General features: G+C 36.4%; 1 protein-coding gene and 1 pseudogene across 4 annotated transcripts in view, besides 1 other annotated feature; one reads left to right on the top strand and one right to left on the bottom strand.

Annotated features, from left to right (window-relative positions):
* NLK (nemo like kinase) overlaps positions 1 to 22,291 on the top strand; it is a 163,398-nt gene that overhangs the window by 62,513 nt on the left and 78,594 nt on the right. For all 4 annotated transcript variants that reach the window (XR_934482.2, XR_001752526.3, NM_016231.5 and 1 more), the window contains exon 2: positions 17,414 to 17,543. Coding sequence is in view for 2 of the 4 variants with exons in the window: in NM_016231.5 (NP_057315.3) it covers positions 17,414 to 17,543 (130 nt within the window). In the remaining 2 variants the exon portion in view is untranslated. The remainder of the gene's footprint in view (positions 1 to 17,413; positions 17,544 to 22,291) is intronic.
* Positions 8,425 to 8,926: an enhancer, noted in NCBI's record as "NANOG hESC enhancer chr17:26440640-26441141 (GRCh37/hg19 assembly coordinates)". NCBI's record gives its function as "activates a minimal SCP1, AML or CMV promoter by ChIP-STARR-seq in primed H9 embryonic stem cells {active_cell/tissue: H9 hESC(primed)}" and the evidence as "EXISTENCE:reporter gene assay evidence [ECO:0000049][PMID:30033119]".
* Positions 11,050 to 11,217, bottom strand: RPS29P22 (ribosomal protein S29 pseudogene 22; annotated as a pseudogene).

Here is a 22,291-nt window from a genome sequence, read left to right on the forward strand (position 1 = left end):
AAAGGAAACAGGGACCTTTTTTCACCCAGCACTGTCTTTTAAATTTATGTCCCAAAGGAGGATTAAAAATCCTCCTAACCATGTAATATACACCTGAAATTCTAGCTATGGTATAACAGGTGACTTCTCTAACATGGCTAATGAACTGTAGCAGAAGAAAATGTATCCCTTTTTACCTGAGATTTCATAGTTTGTGTATATTTCTTAGTTTGTATACCAGTTTTTTTTCAATTGGTAGTATAAACTCTTAAAAATTGTTGTTTGATCCAAAGACTGGTATGCTTCAGATATAAACCTCTAAAGGTGTTTTCATCTCCTTCCTCCAGTTAACTGGCTTTTCAAATGGGAGAAAATATGGATTCTTTTTCAAAGGTTGCTGATGTCATTTGTTAGTAAAAAATTGATTTGGGAAAAAGTAAGTTTCATTCATCAGATAAACCCCTGTCAGGTGTTTGAACAGCCAGTTCTTTCCCCCACCCCTTCTTAAGTGAGCTATAAAGAAGACCTGGTGATTCACTCATAGGTTGGCCACAGAAGAAAGCCTTTGTTATCTCTTGCTAGCAGCTTTTGAGCCTACCTCCATTTCTCCAGCTGGATCTGGAGTAGACATTGTTAGCTAATGATGATCACTTTACTCACTTAGAGTCGTTCTCCTCCCTGCATCATGCCAACAGGCTTCAGTGCCCAAAGCCAAAGCCATAGCCCTGTGTCAGACTACCAACATATAAAGAAAATTTCTGTTTGCAATGTTTGATGTTCCTATTGTGGGTGATTTATTTAATTTCCATTATTGCTCTATTTACCATAATTAAAAATCAGGAGTAAATTGCAGTATTTTTCCCATTGCATTTTTTCCAAGTATGTTTCCCAAAAACTTACTCTGTATCTAAAGCATCCAGATTATGGTTGGAGAACCTAACATGAAATATATAGAATAATGATTTGAGTACCTCACTCTACATATTTTATTGAAAACATGCCTCAAGCAACATTAATTTCTTCTTTTTAGCTTTCAGAATAATTTTGCATATTCAGAACTTATCTTCAACTAAATAAATTCTTTTATACAGTGTGCTTTATTTTTATGAACACTATAGCATTTCAATTTATATTACCATTTTATAATAATTTCAATTCGTATATAATGAAAATACATAAAATAGCCTAGAACTTCTTTTGTAAAATTGAGGTATATCTTATATACTGCTTCTTATATGCTAACAGATGTATTCCTTATAACAGGAAGACAAGGAATGCACAAAAACCAATAAATGCAAGAGCTGTATACCAGAACACTTGAATAAGAGATAATATCTCACTATGAGAATTTCAGTTCAAATAAACAAAAATTTAATTGCCCTCAGTAATGTAATAAGATAAATTTTTAAGAGAATGAAATGGAAGTAGTAGGCCTGAGCACTTTGTTTTAAATGCACAGATTTGAATACACACCATTTCGTAGTAAATACTTTTGACGTAAATTTTACATACAGCATCCTCAGATTATGGTGCAATGAAATTGGAAATGAATAAGAAAACAACAGGTTTTCAACCAAATGAAAAAGAGAAACATACTACAATAAAACTATACTACTTGAAAGACATAAAAAATCCCCATCACCAATTATCCAGCTCATGAGGCTAGCATAGCTTAACTCATAATTTTGTTCAACTCTACATGCCAATTTCAACAAGAAAAAATAGAGCATATATAATGTACTGGTTAATCCCAAAAGGACCTAAAAAAGAACAGAGTAAGATAGACAAAATTAAGATGAAAACTACTGAAATGGATAATTAAAACTTTTTTTAACTTTAAAAACTAGATTACAAAAATTAAAAACACTACACAACTAAGTATTTTGAATACACTAGTTGCAATAGGAAGCACAAGAAAATTGGATGGAATCACTGGTGAATATTTTTCAGTACGTAATATATATATCATAGGAATAGCTACTAAGCCGGGCACAGTGGCTCACGCCTGTAATCCTAGCACTTTGGGAGGCTGAGGTGGGTGGATCACCTGAGGTCAGGAGTTCAAGACCAGCCTGGCCAACATGATGAGACCCCCGTCTCTACTAAAAATACAAAAATTAGCTGGGCGTGGTGGCAGGCGCCTGTAATCCCAGCTACTCGGGAGGCTGAGGCAGGAGAATCGCTTGAATCTGGGAGGCGGAGGTTGCAGTGAGCCAAGACCACACCATTGCACTCCAGCTGGGCAACGAGAGCGAAACTCTGTCTCAAAAAAAAAAAAGAAAAGAAATAAATACTAAACACTGAAGTAACTTGAAGGTTACCCAGAGGTTACCCAGTTTATTTTGTGAGGCAGACAGGTATGGTGCCTACTAAGGTCAGAACATAAGATTGAAGGCAGTCTTGTTGATGAATATAGATGAAAAAACTCTAAGAATAATGTAAATAGAACACATATTAAAAGGTATTCAACAATTAAAAATAATATTCACCATGACCAAGTGAGATTTAGTATAGAAATTCAGGATTGGTTCAGTGTAAGTCAAACTATTAATATAATCCATTTCATTACTGGGAAAAATAGTAAAATCAATTAAAACAATGTTCATTGATCTGGGATGGGATACTGTTTTAGGCACTGGAAGGATACAAAGAGACATATATCAGTAGAATCCTTGTGCTCTCAAGGGTTTATAACTTATTAAATTAAAAAAGAAAATTAGTGAAAATCATGGTGTGCCCCAAATATTTGAAAACATCCTAAAAATGTCTTATAAAAATTAACAGACTGGGTGCAGTGGCTCATGTCTGTAATCCCAGCACTTTGGGAGGCCAAGGTAGGTGGTTCACTTGAGGTCAGGAGTTTGAGCCCAGCCTGGCCAACATGGTGAAACCCCATCTCTACTAAAAATATAAAAATTAGCCAGGTGTGGTGGTGCGTGCATGTAGTCCCAGCTACTCAGGAGGCAGGAGAAACACTTGAATCCAGGAGGCAGAGGTTGTAGCCGAGATCACATCACTGTGCTCCAGCCTGGGCAGCAGAGGGATACTCTGTCTTAAAAAAAAATAATTAACATACATTCCTGACAATCCAAAAGTATAAAGGAAATGTAAGGGTTTTTCATATATATTTGTAACTAAGATTTAATGTTAGCCTAAAAGGAAAAGTAAAGGCATCTTCTGTTAAAAAATAATTAAAATAGTGCGGCCTCACATCAAATGTTAGCTATTATATAAAAATTAAAAAAAACAAGGTACAGATATATGCAAGGAGGAAATTAAACTATCAGAATTCAAATGATTGTTATATATCCAGAAAATCTGAAAAATTAAACAGCATAATAATTGAATTTAGGTTGCAAATTTTAAGTTAACAAAAGTAAAGCATGTTACTGTATTTTAACAATAGATGATATAGCAACAAATATATACCTGTTTACAGTGACACACATAAAATACTTTAACATAATGTTCTGTGTATATGTGAATAATAAAACTTTAATAGCAAGTATGAAATTAGTTTGAATAAATGGAAAGTTGTACCCTGGCTGGTGGGAAGGCCAGAAGTATTAAAATTACATGCTTACTATATTAATTACTAGATTTAATATTTAACCAAGATACCAATATAATATCTTTAGAAGCCTTGATTCCAGCATTACCTGAGAATCTCTATTCCCCATCCCAGACATAGGGAATCAATCTACATTTTAAGATTTTAGGCCGGGCGCAGTGGCTCACGCCTGTAATCCCAGCACTTTGGGAGGCTGAGGTGGGCGGATCATGAGGTCAGGAGATCCAGACAATCCTGGTTAACATGGTGAAACCCCATCTCTACTAAAAAAATACAAAAAAAGTAGCCGGGCATGGTGGTGGGCGCCTGTAGTCCCAGCTACTTGGGAGGCTGAGGCAGGAGAATGGCATGAACCTGGGAGGCGGAGCTTGCAGTGAGCCAAGATCGCACCACTGCACTCCAGCCTGGGCAACACAGCGAGACTTCGTCTCACAAAAGAAAAAAAAAAAAAAGATTTTTAAGATTTCCAGGTGATTCCTGTTTGTTTAAATAAGTGGTTAATATGTGACCTATTTGGATGAATGGAAAAACTATATCAAAGGGGATAGAAGGAAACTGTACAGAATAAAATCAGAATAGGGCCTACAATATTGTAAACAGTTGATATTCTATGGTGATGATTTTTGTTCTAACAACTTTATTGAGGCATAATTTATATACCATCAAATTTACCCATCATAAGTATGTAATTCAGTGACTTTTAGTTAATTTATGGTGTTATACAACCATCACTACCACTCAATTTTAGAATATTTTCATCACCCCAAAGACTTGCTCATTAATAGTAACCTACTCCCAACCCCAGGCAATCACTGAAATGTTCTGTCTCTACACATTTGTTTTTTCCAAGAATTTCTTATAAGTGATATATTATGTAGTCTTTTGTGTTTGGCTTCTTTCACTTAGCATAATGTTTTTGAGGTTTATCCATATGTTAATAAATAATAGTTTGTTCTGTTGTATAGATGTATCATAGTTTATGCATTCACTAGGTAATGGATTTGACACTTTCCAGTTTTTGACTATTATGAATAATGCTGCTATGAATATTTACATATGTCTTTGTGTGGACATAAGTTTTCATTTCCCCTGTGTAGACACCTAAAAGTGGAGTTGCAGGGTCATGGTAAGTTTATGTTTAACTTTTTAAGGTGCAGCCAAACTGTTTTCCAAGGTAGATGTGCCATTGTACAGTTTTACCAGTAATGTAAAAGGGTTCCAATTTTGATTGGGATTACATTGAATCTATAAGTCACTAAGAGGAGAATTGTCATCTTAACACCATTGAGTTTTCTAATCCACAAATATGAAGTGTTCCCTTATTTAAATCTTCTCTAATTTATCTCAGCAATGTTTTGTAGTTTGCATTCTATGTGTTACACTTCTTTTTAAAATTTATTCCGTAAGTATTTTATTCTTTATGATTCTGTTGTGAATGAAATTGTTTTCTTAAGTTCATCTTTAGATTATTTATTGCTTATATATATATATCTTGGAATATTTTCATTTGGACTTCATTTTTGAAGGATAGGATCTTCTTAGTCTGATATAGAATTTTTGCTTTCTCCACTAAAATATGGCATTCCACTGCCTTTGACTTCCATTTTTTCTGATGAGAAGTCAGTCATTTATCATATTGTTGTTTTTCTCTTGCTATTTTTAGAGTTTTTCTTTGACTTGAATTGATGTTTGACTATGAATTGTCTAGGCGTGGATCTCTTTGTGTCTATCCTACTTGGGTTTTTTGGGTTTTTTTTTTTTACAACTTTTTGGATCTGTAGATTATTTTTCATCAAATTTGGAAATATTTCAACCATTATTTCTTTTTCTTCAAATACTTGTTCTGCCTCTTTCTTGCTCCTTTCCTCCTGATATTCCCATTGCATGCATGTTGGTACCCTCAGTGTTACTGCATAGGTCTCTGAGGTTTTGTTCATTTTTTCAAACTTTTTTCTTCGTTTCTAATATGTACTTTTCTCTAGAATCTGATTTTGTTCTATTTTTGTAGTTTCTACGTCTGTGTTGATATTCCCTGTTGAGTCATTGTCACCATATTTTTCTTTAATTTGTTAAACAAGTCTCCTTTAATTCTTTTTTTTGTTTGTTTGTTTTTGTTTTTTTTTGAGACGGAGTCTCGCTCTGTCGCCCAGGCTGGAGTGCAGTGGCGGGATCTCGGCTCACTGCAAGCTCCGCCTCCCGGGTTCACGCCATTCTCCTGCCTCAGCCTCCCAAGTAGCTGGGACTACAGGCGCCCGCCACTACGCCCGGCTAATTTTTTGTATTTTTAGTAGAGACGGGGTTTCACCGTTTTAGCCAGGATGGTCTCGATCTCCTGACCTCGTGATCCGCCCGCTCCTTTAATTCTTTGAGCATATTTACGATAGCTAGTTTGGAAGTCTTTTTCTGAATAGGACATCTGGACCCACTCAGAAACAGTTTCTGTTTGTTCGTTTGTTTGTTCGTTTGAGACAGAGTCTCGATCTATTGCCCAGGCTGGAGTGCAGTGGCGCAATCTCAGCTCGCTGCAACCTCTGCCTCCCGGGTTCAAGTGATTCTCCTGCCTCAGCCTCCCAAGTAACTGGGATTACAGATGCATGCCACCATGCCTGGCTAATTTTTTTTTTTTTTTAGTAGACACAGGGTTTCACCATGTTGGCCAGGCTGACCTCAGGAGATCTGCCCACCTTGGCCTCCCAAAGTGCTGGGATTACAGGCATGAGCCATCATGCCTGTCCAGAAACAGTTTTTATTGACTGCTTTTTTCCCCGAGTATGGGCCACATTTTCCTGTTTCTTAACATGTTGTGGAATCTTTTTGCTAAAAACTGGACGTATTAGATAATACAGTGTAACAGCTCTGGTTCTGATTTTCCTCACCTCTGACGGTTGTCATTATTGTTGTTATGTATATTTGCTTATTCTTAAATGACACGTGCAGACTTAATGTGCAGAATCTGTCTCCCCACTGAGGTGTAGCCAACTCGGGTCTCTGCTCAATTTTGTTTTGTTTTTTTTAATTTTTAGCCTAGCTTTCTTGGAGTCCTGCTTGTGTCTGCATAGCTGAGTGGTTGGCTATTGGTTAAAGGTTGTGCTCAGGCATTTTGAGCTAATAAGGCTTATACCGTGTGTGTGTGTGTGTGTGTGTGTGTGTGTGTGTGGTGTGTGTGTGTGTGTGTGTGTGTGTGTGTGTGTGTGTGTGTGTGTGTGTATGTGTAGGGAGAGCATGTAGTTTTCAAATATGCCCAGCTTTTATTTTCTGCTGAGCCCTCAGTTTTTCCTCACATGCAGGAAGCCTCTCAGTCAGCAAGAGATCTATGGAGAGTTCAGGCTATCTCCAGTCTCCTCTGGGCATATATTCAGCCATCAGTTAGCCAGGACTGTGTGGGGGAGTTTAGCCCCCTCTGTGGCTCTCTCATTTCCAGAATCTCCTTGTTAAATTTCTAGATTTCTGATAGTCTGCCCTTCTTCTCAACCAGGACAGCAGCCTTTGAATAACAGAGCTATAGGCTTTCTCTGTTCTTTTCTAGTTGAGTTTAATGCTTTGACCCCACATTGCTACTGGGTGTGGGTTTTTTGCCCTCCCCTTCAAATCATGTTAGCTCCCTGTGACAACGAAGCTGCTGGGTTTTGTAGCCAGCCTTGCCCAGGAACTATTAGATGTACTGGTGCTTGGGTAGGGTGTGGCAGGGGTGGGGTAAGAAGCTGACCCAAGCTGTGACTCCCACTATTCTTACACAAATTTCAGCAGTTTTTTGTAAAAACACTTAAATTTGTCATTTGACTTTGGCCATTTTTCTGGAGTCCCAAAATGGCTGTTTTTGACACTTTTGTCTAGTTTTATAGTTGTTTTGAGGGGAAAGGATTTGCTGACCTCTTCAATTTGCCACAGCTGGAAGTCCTGCCTCCTGTTTTGTTTTGTTTTTGTAATATTTTTGGGTTTGTTTATTTTTAACAGGCTAATTGAAAACCTGAAGCACATCTATATATTGTAGCTGCTTCAGCATTGTGCTTCACAACGGAAGAAGTTAGGAGATTGTGATTAGATTAGGGGTGGGGCTGTAGTCCTAAATTTGCTGACAGCGCTTTCCTGTGGAATGCTTCCTAATAATGTATTCTTGTGTAATGATGAAGGAAATGTTTGTTTTTTTTTAAGCAAGCAGATTCCTTTGGAATTCTACAACATAAAAAAGACATTATAGTATACTCCTCTCTACAGAATGAATTTGGCACAGGGAGAGAAGTGACAAAGTTCTTTGGGCTGGTATAGATGTATATCTATATGAAAAATAATGGAAAGACTCATCCTTTTAAAAAGTTACTCATCCTTTTAAAAATTATACAGGTTTAAGCTAAAATTTTTTGTGTGCTAGAAAATTAAGCTGGGCAGTTTGCCTTTTTAAAAAACCTTTCTAATTATTTAGTAACACACATACACAAAATAAAATGTATAACTCAATGGTGTATCACAAAGTGCACACCTCTATGACCACCATTCAAGTGAGATACAGGACATCACCAGTACCCAGAAGTCCCCTGTGCCCTCTGGATCCATACCCCAAGAGAAGGTTCTTGGATCTCACACAAGAAAAAATTGGGGCAAGTCCATAGAGTAAAGTGAAAGCAAGTTTACTTAAGTAAAGGAATAAAAGAATGACTACTCCATAGGCAGAGCAGCCCTGAGGGCTGCTGGCTGCCCATTTTTATGATTATTTCTTGATTATATGCTAAACAAAGGATGGATTATTTATGCCTCCTCTTTTTAGGCCATATAGGGTAACTTCTTGGTGTTGCCATGGCATTTGTAAACTGTCATGGCACTAGTGGGAGTGTCTCTTAGCATGCTAATGCATTATAATTCCAGAGGTCACTCTCATCACCATCTTGGTTTTGGTGTATTTTAGCTGGCTGCTTTACTGCAACCTGTTTTACCAGCACGGTCTTTATGACCTGTATCTTGTGCTGACCTCCTATCTCATCCTGTGACTTAGAATGCCTTAACTTCCTGGGAATGCAGCCCAGTAGATCTCAGCCTCATTTTACCCAACCCCCATTCAAGATGGAGTTGCTCTAATTCAAACGCCTCTGACACTCTACCACCATTGTCCTCTCCTCCTGAGATAATCACTATCCTAACTTTTATGCTAACTACTTCCTTTCCCGACAGTTTCTATCTCCTAAGTGTGCATCCCTAAACATTATAGTTTAACTTTGCCTTTTTTTTTAATATTATGGAAATGGTATCTTGTAGTGTATATTTATTGTGCCTGGTTTCTTTTGTTCAAAATTATGTTTGTAAGATTTATCTATGTTGTTGCATATAGCAGTAGTTCATTTTAATTGCTGGAGAGTATTCCATTGTTTGAATATACTACAATTTGTATACTGTATATTATATATTGAACATTCTGTTTGTGGATATTTAAGCTATTTCCAGTTTTAAGGGTATTACAAATATTGCTGCTCTGAATACGCTTGCATGTGTCTTAATGTATAGATATGCATATTCCTTTTGGTTATATACCTAGGAGTCAAATTGCCAGGTCATAGTGTGTATATATTTTTGACTTAATAGATAATGTCAACTTGTTTTCCAAAGTGATTATAACAATTTACCCTCCTAAACTATAAGAATTTCCATTGCACTTCATCTCAACAAAACATTTGCTATTGTTAGACTTTTAAAAAATTGATTTGTAGGAGTTCTGTATACATCTGGATAAGAGCCCTTTGTTCCTTATAAGTGTTGCAAGCATCTTCTCCTATGTGACTTGCATTTTTGCCCTCTTAATGTAGATATGAAAAGACGTTCTTGATTTTAAGGTAGTCAAATATATCAATATTTTCCAGTGTAATTAGTGCTTTTTGTGTTCAATTGAAGAAATCTTTCCCTGCCTTAATATCATATTCTTCTATACGTTATCTTCTAAAAGCGATGTGATTTTGCTTTTCATGTTTATATCTACATCCTACCTGGAATTTGTTTTTGTGTATAGTGTGGAGTAGGTTTGGAGGTTCATCTTGTTTTTCCATGTGGATATTTCATGGTTCCAATAACATAGATTGAAAAGATATTGTATCTGGCAGGGTTTGATCAGGAGAAAGAAACCACACCAGTTATTTAAACAGAGTTTAATATGGAAAAAATGTTAATTAGGTATAAAGTTGTCAAGTAGATAACTAAAAATGCAAGAAGAAAACACTAAGATATCACAAAAGTAGCAGTTTCCACCCCACAGCAGGAAGAATAAAGGGAAGAGATTGGAATTATTCAAATTTAGAACCCCATGATGTCTGAGGAGAGGATACTGGCTCACTTGTGCTGGTATCTGGCATGGAAGATGCAGTGAGGCTAGTTCTGCAAGTTTTGGCAGAACTGTAAACTGGATTCAGCTACTGCTATAAGAAGGTACTACTGCTGGGAGTGAAGAAGTATTGCTTGGGTGTCACAGAAACAAGAAACAGACAGGAAGCCCATAGGAGGTGCAAGTCCCTTCTTCCTCCACCACCACCCTTGCAGTCTCTCTCTACAACATTCTGTTGGCAGAGCCTAACATGGAGCCAGTTGGCAAAACCAAAATGTGGTTTGTAGAGTTTAGCCCCAGCATGATAGAGCAGTGTTTAGGCGGATGGGTTTGAAGCTGAGAGACAATAGCTTAATAACTGATACAACCTTCCTGTCTCCACTGCTCTGCAGAGCCAACTTTTTGGTAAGTCAAGTGTTCATATAGGCGACAGTCTCTTTTTAGATTGATTATATTTCTGTTTCATCTGTCTTTGTACCAATATTACACTATGTAAATTACTGTAGCTTTATTATGTCTTCATACCTAGTAGAGCAATTTTTCAAAACCGACCTATCCTTCTTCAAGTGTTTTAGCTGTCCTTAGCACACTTAAATTTATAGAAAAACTTTAAAACTACTTCATCTATCCCCCCCATCAATTTGGGGGGAGTTGACAATTTTACAATGTTGAGTTTTCTAATCTGTGAATATGATACATCTTTCCATTTATTCTTTAATTTTGCTCTGTAATATTTTTTAAACATCTTGTATAGAAGTCTTGAGTAGCATCTGTTAGCTTTAATCCCAGATATTACATATTTTTAATATTATAAATAGTTTTTTATAAATTTCATTTTATTATTTTTATTTTGAAAATTTCAGACTTACATTATTTTCCTTTTGTATAATTAGACCCCATTATACCCACCACCTAGATTCAGTAATTAATAAGATTTGCTTCATTTGCTTCAACTATTTTTTATTGTTGTTGCTGAAGTATTTTAAAACAAATCCTAGATCTCATGTCATTTCACCTATTTATACTTATAAGTATGCATCTCTAGAAAATACGGACATTTTATTTATAACTAATTCTAAGCCATATTGACATTTCCTCATTTATATTTTTAAAATTTTTTATTTTATGTACAAAGAGCTAACATGGTTTCTATCATTGGGTGGATGCCTTGGATAATTCATTCAACAAAGATCATTTGGTCCAACTTAATGAAACCTATATCCTTCATGTACTGATGGAAACACTGGCAGCACCTATTGAGGCCATGTTTCAGGATCAGACCATGCTGGTTTGAGCAGACGCAGCAAGAGTGAGAACCCCGGCCGAATTTTCATGGGTGGCTCTAGTAGAGCTGCTGGTGACCCATCTTGCTTTCAGGAGTGCAACCAGGTGAAGGGCCTCTTTTATTTCAAAAATGTTTTTTACTGTTGATATGTTCAATTTACTTTTAACTTCAAGCATATTGTTCACATTTTGTATTAAGTAATTATTAAAATATTAGCTTAGCCATTAAAATATTAAAGTATGCTCTACGACAATTCAGAACAAAGTTTTCTTTTCTGATGTGAACTTTATTTCTAAATTCATTAAGATTTTTGACGTCTGCAAAGCCACACTGTCACAAACCTACCATGTGAATAAAACTGTCTTTTTCTTTCAAATGTTTTCTATCCTTATAAACCTAATGTGCAACAAAAATTGCCATTTGTTAAATATAAATTTTTTTCTAGTCCTCAATGTTCCTATTACTGAACACATATCTTTCAGGAAGTCACCAGTGGAATTAAAAATAAGTGCATTTTTGTGTGACATATTTTCAGTTTTACTTGCGCTTTGTGACCTCTTCTTGCCTAGACAAAGTTGTTAAAATGCAAGAGGGAGATGTAGTTGTGAATTGTTTTCCTTTGTGGATTTGCATAGAAACCTTTCCCTCATTCTTTCAACTGGTTTTCCTCCCCATGCAATATTCATAGGTCTGTTTCTAAGCAAGGACTGTGGCTAGTAGGCCATGAAAACTTCCTAGACTTGGCAGACTGGGCTGTATCATCTTCACCCTCTAACATGAGAAAATCCAGCATGGCAGTTTTCCTGCAGGCAGTTCAGATTCCTCGTAGACATATTTAACAGTGACTGAGGAGGAAGTCTCTGTATCTCCCCAGCATCTATAGTATAGATGGAACTAATTAATTCATGATCTAAAGAACAATTAAATATTCCCAAGACCACAAGAATTAGCATAAAATGATTTTCAGCTGCATTTTAACTTATCCAGTATTATTGGTGGGGACTGAAAGGGTCTTAAGAGTTAGGTTTCACTCACTAGTACTAAGTACTTGAAAATAAATATGACAGCCTGATACTGGATGGCTTACCTGTTGCTTAGCCTTCCTCCATTATCAGTACTTTCAGGTGTCTCACTACAGATTAGAATGGCCCAGTGCTGTCTTATCTGCTGAGATCTTTGCTATTTTTAGTTCATTAAACACAGAGTTAGAGGATGTTTAAGTTCTTATTTAACTCTTTCAGTCAAATATAGATATTTTGCTGCTCCTAAGGAATAATATTAGGAGGATATGAAGAAAAGAATGAACTGTTTCTCAGCCTTGGTTTAGCTATCATATAAGGCCTTTTTTCTTTGTAATACAAATTAGCAAATTTGGGAATCATTTTATATATCCTGACAAAATGGAAAAGGATCTCTTTCTTATGCATACAGCTAACCCGACAATTAACAAACTTGGATAAACAAATGAGAAAAGAACTCGGCTAATATAATACATTAAATATAGAAGATGAGAATCCGTTTTTTATTTATGTTTTGGATGGGGGAAAGGCCTAGAAAGATTTCTTCTAAATTGTATACAACTCTATAAATATGGTGGAGTGCACACAAATTATAGCCCTTTAAAATTGCAGTTAGAAAGACCAGTGAGAAATAAAAGTAAATTTCTTATTCCATAATTTGTTACATAAATTTCTTGTGTATCCTTGAATATATAACAAGGACCAAGGTAACAAATAGGATACATTTCCTAGACTTGTTTGTTGTCAAAAATTTTGCCTCAGTTTGCTATTGTTTTCTGAAACAGGCAATCTAAATACAAGTAAAAATAAGGAAATGAATTTCAAAATAAATGTGACGGCAATAATCTAAATATTTAGAGTTTAGTTAGGAGGTTCTGTTACTGAGATATGTACTCAGTATAGTTGACATAGTAATTGTAGTATGTATAGCAAGAAATGGAGGATTGCTGATTACAACTTTATGTGAATAGAATTACAAGAACCTGATTTTCTTAAACCAAGTTGAAGCACTCTTTTTATTATATTATGTATTTGCTTTGAATAGCTAAAAACATGTATCAGAAACATGAATTTTAAAACTGCTAACACATGGGGGATTCTTCACATAAAAATGAAAGAGAAACACAATTTCTTGGAGATTCTTGCTGACTAGTTTAAAGATGTTTTAAGTGACATTTTAGTGGCTGAGAAAGTATTCCCAATAATAAGTTTCACTTTTGTTTCATTACAACTTTTCTGCTTGTCAGTAATTTAAGCAGATTTGTGGCAGTGTTCCGTTTTCTGGGATTAAGAAAACTCAACAAAATGACCACAACAGATCTAAAATGCTTCCTGTTTTGTTATTGTACTCTTTTGATCAACTCTGTATCTCTCTGAAAAAGGACTTGTGGATTCTTCTGGCTTTTTAAAAAACAGTTGAATTTATGAGTATAAAGAAGTATTGATAAACTCTGGACAGGTGTAAGTGAGGATTCTTTCTCACGACTCTTAAACATGCTGCTTGAAGTATTAATTTAAAACTTAGGAAGTAAACTCCTGTAAGTAAAACTTCACTGTTTAAGAAGGGAATCAGATGAAATGACAGATGCACTGTCTTATTTAAGGCATCCAGTGTTTAGCAGAGAAAGTAACTGCCCTAGAATTGTAGGTATAAGGATGGCTCCTTTTTTTCTGAAATGAAGAAACTTGTACTAAATGTTGTTCATTATCTCTACAGCTGGAGCTTCATTAGCAAGTGCATTTAGAATAACCAGGGTATGGCAGCAGCAGAGAAACTAAGCGCCTCAAGCCTTTGAGTAACAAAAAATAAAAGAATTCCTGTATAACATGCTTCCACACTTATCTGTGTTCTGTGGTACTGTTTGTGCTGAACCAAAGCATCTGCTACCTCAAGTTAAGAGAGAACAAACTCAACATGGCGTGAAATTACTGCACTGCCATTCACATTCATTAGAGTTATATTGTTGCCAGCCACAGGCATGACTGGCTTTTGCATGAATAATAAAATGCTGCTTTGTGAATTTTACTTTAAAACATTACAAGACATAGTACTCACCTTGAGCCTGTGTCAAGTATTTTCAGGAGTGGGTTTATCTCCTTTATTATGGTGGCTTTTCTCACCATAATAGGGTAACCAGTAAGTAGTAGTCAGAAGTTAGGAAGAAGTATTGTATGAGGCCTTTGGAAAGGGCACTGTGTTAAATCAATTTATCTCATGTTTAAAAACTAATATTTATTGTGCCCGGCTAACTGTTAAAGATATTAAAATTATTGTCATTTGGCAACCATCGTAATAATTGATTCAGGCAAAAATCATGAGGGGATACTAAAGTTAATGGATCAAAGTTCAGTGAGGAATAGGATATTTACACAGTTACAAAGGGAAAAAAATAGTAACTTTATAGTGGAGAAGCCTGGCAGACACCTCATTCAAGTGATTAAAGTTATCAACAGTAATGGGACATACTGACATTATATGCCTCCTGAGATGATGCACTGAGAAGGCATCAGTTCTTTGTTGTTTCTGTCAAAAATGAATAATCTGAATCTAGTTATGAGAAAACAACAAACCCAAATTAAGGGCTAGTCTTCAAAGTAACTGGCCTGGTCTGTATATTTCACAAATGGCAGTCATGAAAGACATGCCAAATAACTTCTAGATTAGAGAATACCAAAGAGACGTGACAGTTGAATACAGTGTGTGATCTGAAGTTTTCCCTTTTTCGTATTTCATTGACATTTTTCTCTTCTAGTAGCTAGATACTGAAGTAGTATATTTAAACAGAAAAAAAGTACTTCTAACTAATAGTCTGAATACAGCAATATATCAATGTCCCCTCCTATTTTCTAGTTTATGTGGATTTTAATCAGTATTGCAGATTTGGCTTGGGGTGTGTGTGTGTGTGTGTGTGTGTGTGTGTGTGTGTGTATGTGTGTGTGTAAAATACAGACAGGGTCTCACTGTGTTGCCTAGACTGGTCTCAAACTCCTGGCCTCAAGTGATCCTCCTGTCTCAGCCTCCCAAAGTGCTGGGTTTAACAGGTGTGAGCCACTGCGCCCTGCCTGGGTTCATATTTTTTAAGCAACAGTCATGAATGTTAGGTCTCCTGGCCTACTTGAGTTACATATGAAGCTATTGAAAACTCAAAATTGCCTGTAGTCCCAGAAGGCTGAGGCAGGAAGACTGCTTGAGCCCAAGAGTTCCAAGCTGCAGTGATCTTTAATTGTGCCACTGCACTCCAGCCTGGGTGACAGTGAGATCCTGTCTCTAAAGAATAATAATAATAGATAATACTTGTTTTATCAAAATATTGGCCAATGGAAGAAAGTGAAGTCATCGTGTTGTTAAAAAATACTAGAATACTCAGTAGAGATAGCACCATGTTAAGGAAAAAAAATACTAGAATACATCATTTCAGAGTTTCATGAGCACTTAGAAAAGGAAGTAGTGATCACTAAAATGAATCCATAAAGAAGTTTGATATGGTTTTTAGACAGATATGTAGACAATAGGAATTTTTATTTTCAGGAAAGCAATTTGATGAGTGTCTGATTTCCTGAGTGATTGTAGTTCATTGAATGAGTAATTGAATATCCATACTCAAGGTTAATGATTGAATGTCAGTCTCGTTGATGATTTCTAGTATTGTATCTGTTGCAGAGATCTAGTCTCAGTCCTGTTCTAAACTTTAATTAATAACTTAGAAAGAGACATTAATGTCACATGGATCAATTCTTTTTTCTTTTTTTTGAATACAGGCAGAGTCTTGCTGTATTACCCAGGCTGGTCTCAAACTCCTGGTCTCAGGCAGTCCTCCTGCCTCAGCCTCCGAAAGTGCTGGGGACAGAGGCATGAGCCACTGAGCCTAGCCTCAAATTTTAAAATGACACAAATTTAGGAGGAATAAATACTCAGAGCATTGGATGATCAGAACAGGGGCTGAACGATAATAGCTGAGAATGTTAGGCAGGAATCTAGCTAAATAAATTGGACAGGAATAAATTCTACCAGAACAACCAATCTTAGTATGATAGGTAGAAGGGGGGAAAAAAAAAAAAAGCTCTAGGTTAATTCATGGAAAGTCAGTTTGCCAAATGACCAATTGGCCGTGTATACTCAATTTATTGGTATTTCTTTTTTCTTTCTTTTCTTTTTTTTTTTTTTTTTTTTTTTTTGAGACAGAGTCTCGTTCTGTTGCCCAGGCTGGAGTGCAGTCAAGAAATCTTGGCTAACTGCAACCTCCGCCTCCAGGTTCAAGCAATTCTTGTGCCTCAGCCTCCCAAGTAGCTGGGATTACAGACATGCACCACGCCCGGCTAAATTTTGTATTTTTGGTAGAGACGGGGTTTCACCATGTTGGCCAGGCTGGTCTCAAACTCCTGGCCTCAGGTGATCCAGTCACCTCGGCCTCCCAAAGTGCTGGGATTACAGGCATGAGCCACTGAGCCTGGCCTGACATTCTTTTACCTATTTAGTTAATATGTATCAACTGGGTTCAGTCAGAAAAACAGAAACCACACTCCTATTTCAAACATAGGGAAATATAATACAGGAAATTGGTTATATAGGTGTTGGAAGGCAAAAAGAGAAAAAAAAGGGAGTGGGGGGACACAGTTATTAAAAAGATAGTAACTGCAAGAAGCAACTACCACACTAAGAGCTGGGAAATAAAAGGGATGAGGTTATCATTACTCGGGAGCTACAGGGATCCCTAAGCTGGCACCCAGACTTCTAAGGAGGGGACAGTGTTCAACTGCTGCTTATATTGAAGTCCATATTACTAAAAGATGTTCATATACATAAGAAATCTAAATATTTAAATTGTGTTTGAACATGTCTTCCCTCTCAAATGTAGTTCTGAAAATAAAGCATAAAGCTAATTTGACTTTTATCAAATTAATGATCTATGCTGCTTCTGTATGTTTTTTCCCATCTTTAAAATGGCTTTACCACTAATACCTCTCCTACCTCAGATGTATAAAGTGACCTCTCTGAAAGAGTAAGTGTTTATAGAAATTTAGACAGGGATTTTTTTTTTTTTAAAGCATGGCAGATGAGTTGGGTGACCAAACATTCTCTTTAATTATAGATATGTACTCTTTTATCTTTCTCACTGACACCTTAAGCTTCATTAAGTGGACTTAATGTTGAGTGTTTTAAGATAAAGATATTGTCATGATCTGAAACATTGGAAAACAAGGTGTGGAACTGATTTCTCTGTCTTTTTTTTCCCCTTCCCCAAATATTGCTTCTTTAGGTCAGTAACAGATCCAAGAGATGGAAAGAGAGTAGCGCTCAAAAAGATGCCCAACGTCTTCCAGAATCTGGTCTCTTGCAAAAGGGTCTTCCGGGAATTGAAGATGTTGTGTTTTTTTAAGCATGATAATGTAAGTGAAATTGGTATTTGGGGGAAACTATTTCCTAAGCCTCCTGCATTGAATTAGTAAAGAGCAGATGAAAGTTTAAAAGGGCACCTATAAGTAAAATTTGGAAATTGGCTATAGTTTTATGCCAAATGTGAAAAGAAATAAGCGCACCAGTGAGGTTATGGGAGAATACCTATTGATAGGCTTTCAATTCATACATTCTTATTGAAAGAGATGCACACACACACACGTTTTCTAAGCTGTAGTCTTTCAGTGCTTTGCTTTCCTTTTATATATACTCTTTATGTCTCTCTATGACTGTCTTAAATTTTCACTATTGAGATTAGTGGTTTTCAACCTTAACATATTAGACTCACCTGGGGAGTCCATTTTATCAGCATTTTATTTGAAGGTTTGAAAATTACACTATGAATTGTATGACATGCACAAGCCCTAAACTCCAAATCAGGAAACGTTGAACCTATTGAGTTTCGCATTGGCTTCTGAAATGTGGTGTGCACTCTCATTTGTCAATCTGAATGTCTTTTTTAATTCTAAGAATACAAGCTATTAAATATGTTTAAAGCCCATAGAAAAGGAGCATATATTTGTAGGGAAATAGGTTATTAATAGAAACCACAACCAAGGTTTTTATTGAGGGGCTTGGAAACCTGAGACAAATTAGACCCTTTTTGTGACTGAACAATGAACAAGTGTAAGTGAATTCAAGTGAATTCTAAGATTGATTGATTGACAGGTAAATATTGATGCAAAGCAAATATTGATATTTAGCCGAGGAATAATACTAATATTCAACACAAAAATAGAGTGTAGTGATTTATATAGTGAGTGATTTAAGTGGAAATAATTGACCCTTGATTTTAAGTGCTTTATTTTTATCTCAATATTTTAAATCAGAGATTAAGTTAGAGATGTGGGAAACAGTTTCTCCTATAAAAACAGTACATCCCTTAAGGTAACATAGGCTACCTTATTTATGGCTATGTTTAGAGATGTGAAGACTTATAGACAAATAGACTCGTGTTTTGACAGAACTTTCCTTCAATTAATCCTGAGTTAAAAATTTGATACATGTAAAATTTACCTGGAGGTCGCCAGCATTAGAATATGTTTTCATTTTCATGTGAAAAGAAAAACTGCCTCAAATTCTTTATATAATACTCAACCTATGCTATTTTAATTGCCATAATAAAAACTTATCAGAAAAAAAATTATGATTTCTCATGAGTCTGAGTGCTTATTTGCACAAAAAACTCGAGAACTTTGGCCAAAGGTTTGGTCTCACTTTAAGAAGCAAATTTTGAAAAGTTTGAGGTATTTGTTAAAACTGGGAGTACTAAACTTACCATATGGTTCACTCGAAGCTCCTTGGTTTGACATATTTCATTTTAATGATTATTCCTCTTGAAATTCTCTTGCCTTAATTTTTTTAAAGGGCATTGCTGTGTTTTAGTCAATTGGAACTGCCTAGCAATATGCTTGTTTTAATACATTTCAAAATACCACTTGAAGCCAGGGACAATGGCTGCATCTGTAATCCTAGCTACTCAGAAGGCTGAAGTGGTAGGATCAGTTGAGTCCAGGAGTTCAAGACCAGCCTGGACAACATAACGAGACCTCATCTCTAAAGAAGAAAGTTTTTTAAATTAGCTGGGTGTGGTGGCACACATCTGTAGTCTCAGCTATTTGGGAGGCTGAGGTGGGAAGATCACTTGAGCCAGGAGTTCAAGGTTGCAGTGAGTTATGATCAACCACTGCACTTCAGTCTGGGTGCAGAGCAGGACTCCATCTCTAAAAAAAAACCACACACACAAAACAAAATACCACTTGAGTTACTATTTTACTACCAGTTCCTCAGATTTTAGAAATAATTTAGAATAATGTCTAGTTCTTTCTTAGTTATTTCTTGACCTTGCCTTAGTGTGTCACCTCAGCATCAAAGAGTGCAGACCTTCTTTCATTGTCAGAGACTCAAGTAAAGGTATCCATGACGAAAAAATATTTCAAGGGTGGCATCAGAAATTTGCTTACTCGGGGCCGGGCGCAGTAGCTCATGCTTGTAATCCCAGCACTTTGGGAGGCCAAGGCAGCTGGATCATTTGAGTCCAGGAGTTCAAGACCAGCTTGGGCAACGCTGCAAAACCCCATCTCTACAAAAAATAAAAAATTAGCTGGGTTTGGTGGCACATGCCTATAGTCCCAGCTACTCAGGAGGCTGAGGTGGGAGATCACTTGAGCCTGGGAGGCAGAGGTTGCAGTGAGCCAAGATCACGACACTGCACTCCAGCCTGGGCACAGAGCAAGATATCACCTCAAAAAAAAAAGACAAAAAAGAAATTTGCTTACTAATGATGTCAATGGCTTACTATATTCCAACCAATCTTGGCCTCTTCTATAAAGGAAGGGTGGTATAATAAGCTGCTGTTTGTCTAGTTGGTATTTTTGCTCATGACTCATTCCTAGTAACTAATTAAGTTACAAAGACAGTGTCAAAGGGAGTAGTGTAAGAAAAATAAACTGAATTTGTGAAAATCACACCAATTAAAACATAGAAGCAATTCTCATACAGTTTCTAAGAGCTGTGCTTTAAAGTCAGAACTAGGTTTGAATTGTGGTTCTACTATTTTGTACTGTTGTGTCTTGGACCTTAACTTCTCCAATCTTTAAGTTTTTTTCATTTTCGAAGCAGGCATGGTAAAAGCAGAAATAACTGTGTATGATTGTTGCAGAAATTAAATTTTTTTAATGCATATAAACCTGCTCAACACACAACCACTATTTGAAACTACTGAGCTCTATCATAGAAGAGTGCCTGTGACATCTGTGAAAGTGTTTAAAAGTGAGGCACATAGTTGAAGATGGCACAGCACCACTATTTTATATATAATAGATCTCTGCTATCTCTGAGATCTATTTCCAAAAGGATCTCAGGGCCAGCATAACTACTATGTGTGGAATGCCAGTCTAAGAGGCAACTGGTATTTGATCTAGTTAAGGCAGCAAATGTTTATTTATTGTGTCCTATGTAAGGAGTGCGGTGCTAGGTCATGTGGAGGATACAATAAAGGCTTAAAACACTTTCTTTTTGAAGGGGTATGTTTAATATTGCTCTGTGTCAGGAGATATGCTAGATACTTTACATATATTAATTAATTTACTCCTTAAAAATCGTGTCAGATAGGGCTTGTTAACCTTACTTTGTAGAGGAGGAACCAACGACTTGGAGTTACGTAACTTGCCCAAGGTTAAGGTGGCACAGATTGGACTGTAAATCTGTCTTGCTGTAGAGCCCATATTCATTAATTCAGTAAACTTTTATTATGCACATCCTGTATGCCTAAACTACATTAGCTCCTGTTGTCTTTACCTTCAAATAGTTGAAATAATTTTCAAAATGTGATAACTACTATGATAAAAGCACTGTGGGAGGGTTGCCTGCATGGTTAAACATTAAGCCAGGACAGCTGTGTGCATAGCAAAGAGCTGGACAACCAAAACCTAGAAATGTATTCAAAGATTCCCTGGAGAGGGGGACCTTAAAACACAGATTCATGGGTCTTACCTTGCACCTACTAAATTGTAATCTCTGGAGTTGAGGCCCAGGTATCTGATTTTTTAAAGCTTCTCAGGTGACAGGCAAGTACCATAATATTAAGAAAAGAGAAAAATTGTTGTGGACTTAGAAATTCAAAGATGCATCAAACACAGAGAAGGAAAATCTTAATATGAGCCTTTTGAGAACAAGATTTGATTGAAGAAGAAAGGAATGTCATGATAAAAATGGCATTTAGAAAGATCTTGGTCATTGTAGGAAGGTTGGATTTTAATTTGGATGGCTTTTTATGTGTCAAAGAATAGTAACAAAGCCTGGGAGGCTTTGGATTTTCTTTTGAAAGGAACCTTCAAAGTCACTGTATCAAATTCATTGATTTCAGGTGACCTGACTGAATTTTTACACACATACACACACACATCTGAGTACCTGCTTCACCATCTTAACACATTCACCTTGATGAAGTAACTTGGGGAAACAGAAATGGGTTTAGCTTTCTAAAAATTGGTGTTTAGGCTTATTACTAGTATCTATCTGAGCTTTTGTAAAATCTGGCAGAATCTTCTCTCTACCCATCTATGCATTTGTGCTTGTATGTATATACATGCATAGTTGTCATATGATCAGCAGGGAAAGTGATGATTTAGGTTTTTTGGATCTTTGAGATGAAAGCTATGAATCCTGTCAGAAAAATGCACATATATACAATTTTAATGTCATTTTAGGCTTTCACTTGTCCTCTAAAGCCCATTTAGAGCCCCCTTAGGGTCTATTGATTCCTGCCAAGAGCCCCTGTAACGCAAGTCTTGGACATTTTTCTTGTCTTTAGACAATAACACTAAGTACACAGTAGGCGGCGATTCTATTTGAAGAGTAAGTGAGTGAATGAAAGTGACAGAAAAAAAGAAATCTAAGGGCCTGGAGTGATAACTTCTGTGATCTCTCTCTTGGGGTTACTTTTTCTTGTCCTAGCTCTGGAGTGCTCCAGAGAGGGCTAGAATGAGACAAAGAAGCTTCATTCATTTTCCTTTGTATAGTCTGACCTAACTCATACAACACCCCTTTGGGTTCATAAGTAGGTTACAGAATCATACAGTATGGGAAAAACAGATATGGCCTATCTTTTAATACAGACATGCTGTTCAGACATTAGTAATACTAAGTGCTAACTAATACTAACTGTTGTGCCGCTAAG

This window comes from Homo sapiens, chromosome 17 (genome assembly GCF_000001405.40).
Source record: "Homo sapiens chromosome 17, GRCh38.p14 Primary Assembly".
In the NCBI taxonomy this organism is placed as follows: Eukaryota; Metazoa; Chordata; class Mammalia; order Primates; family Hominidae; genus Homo; species Homo sapiens.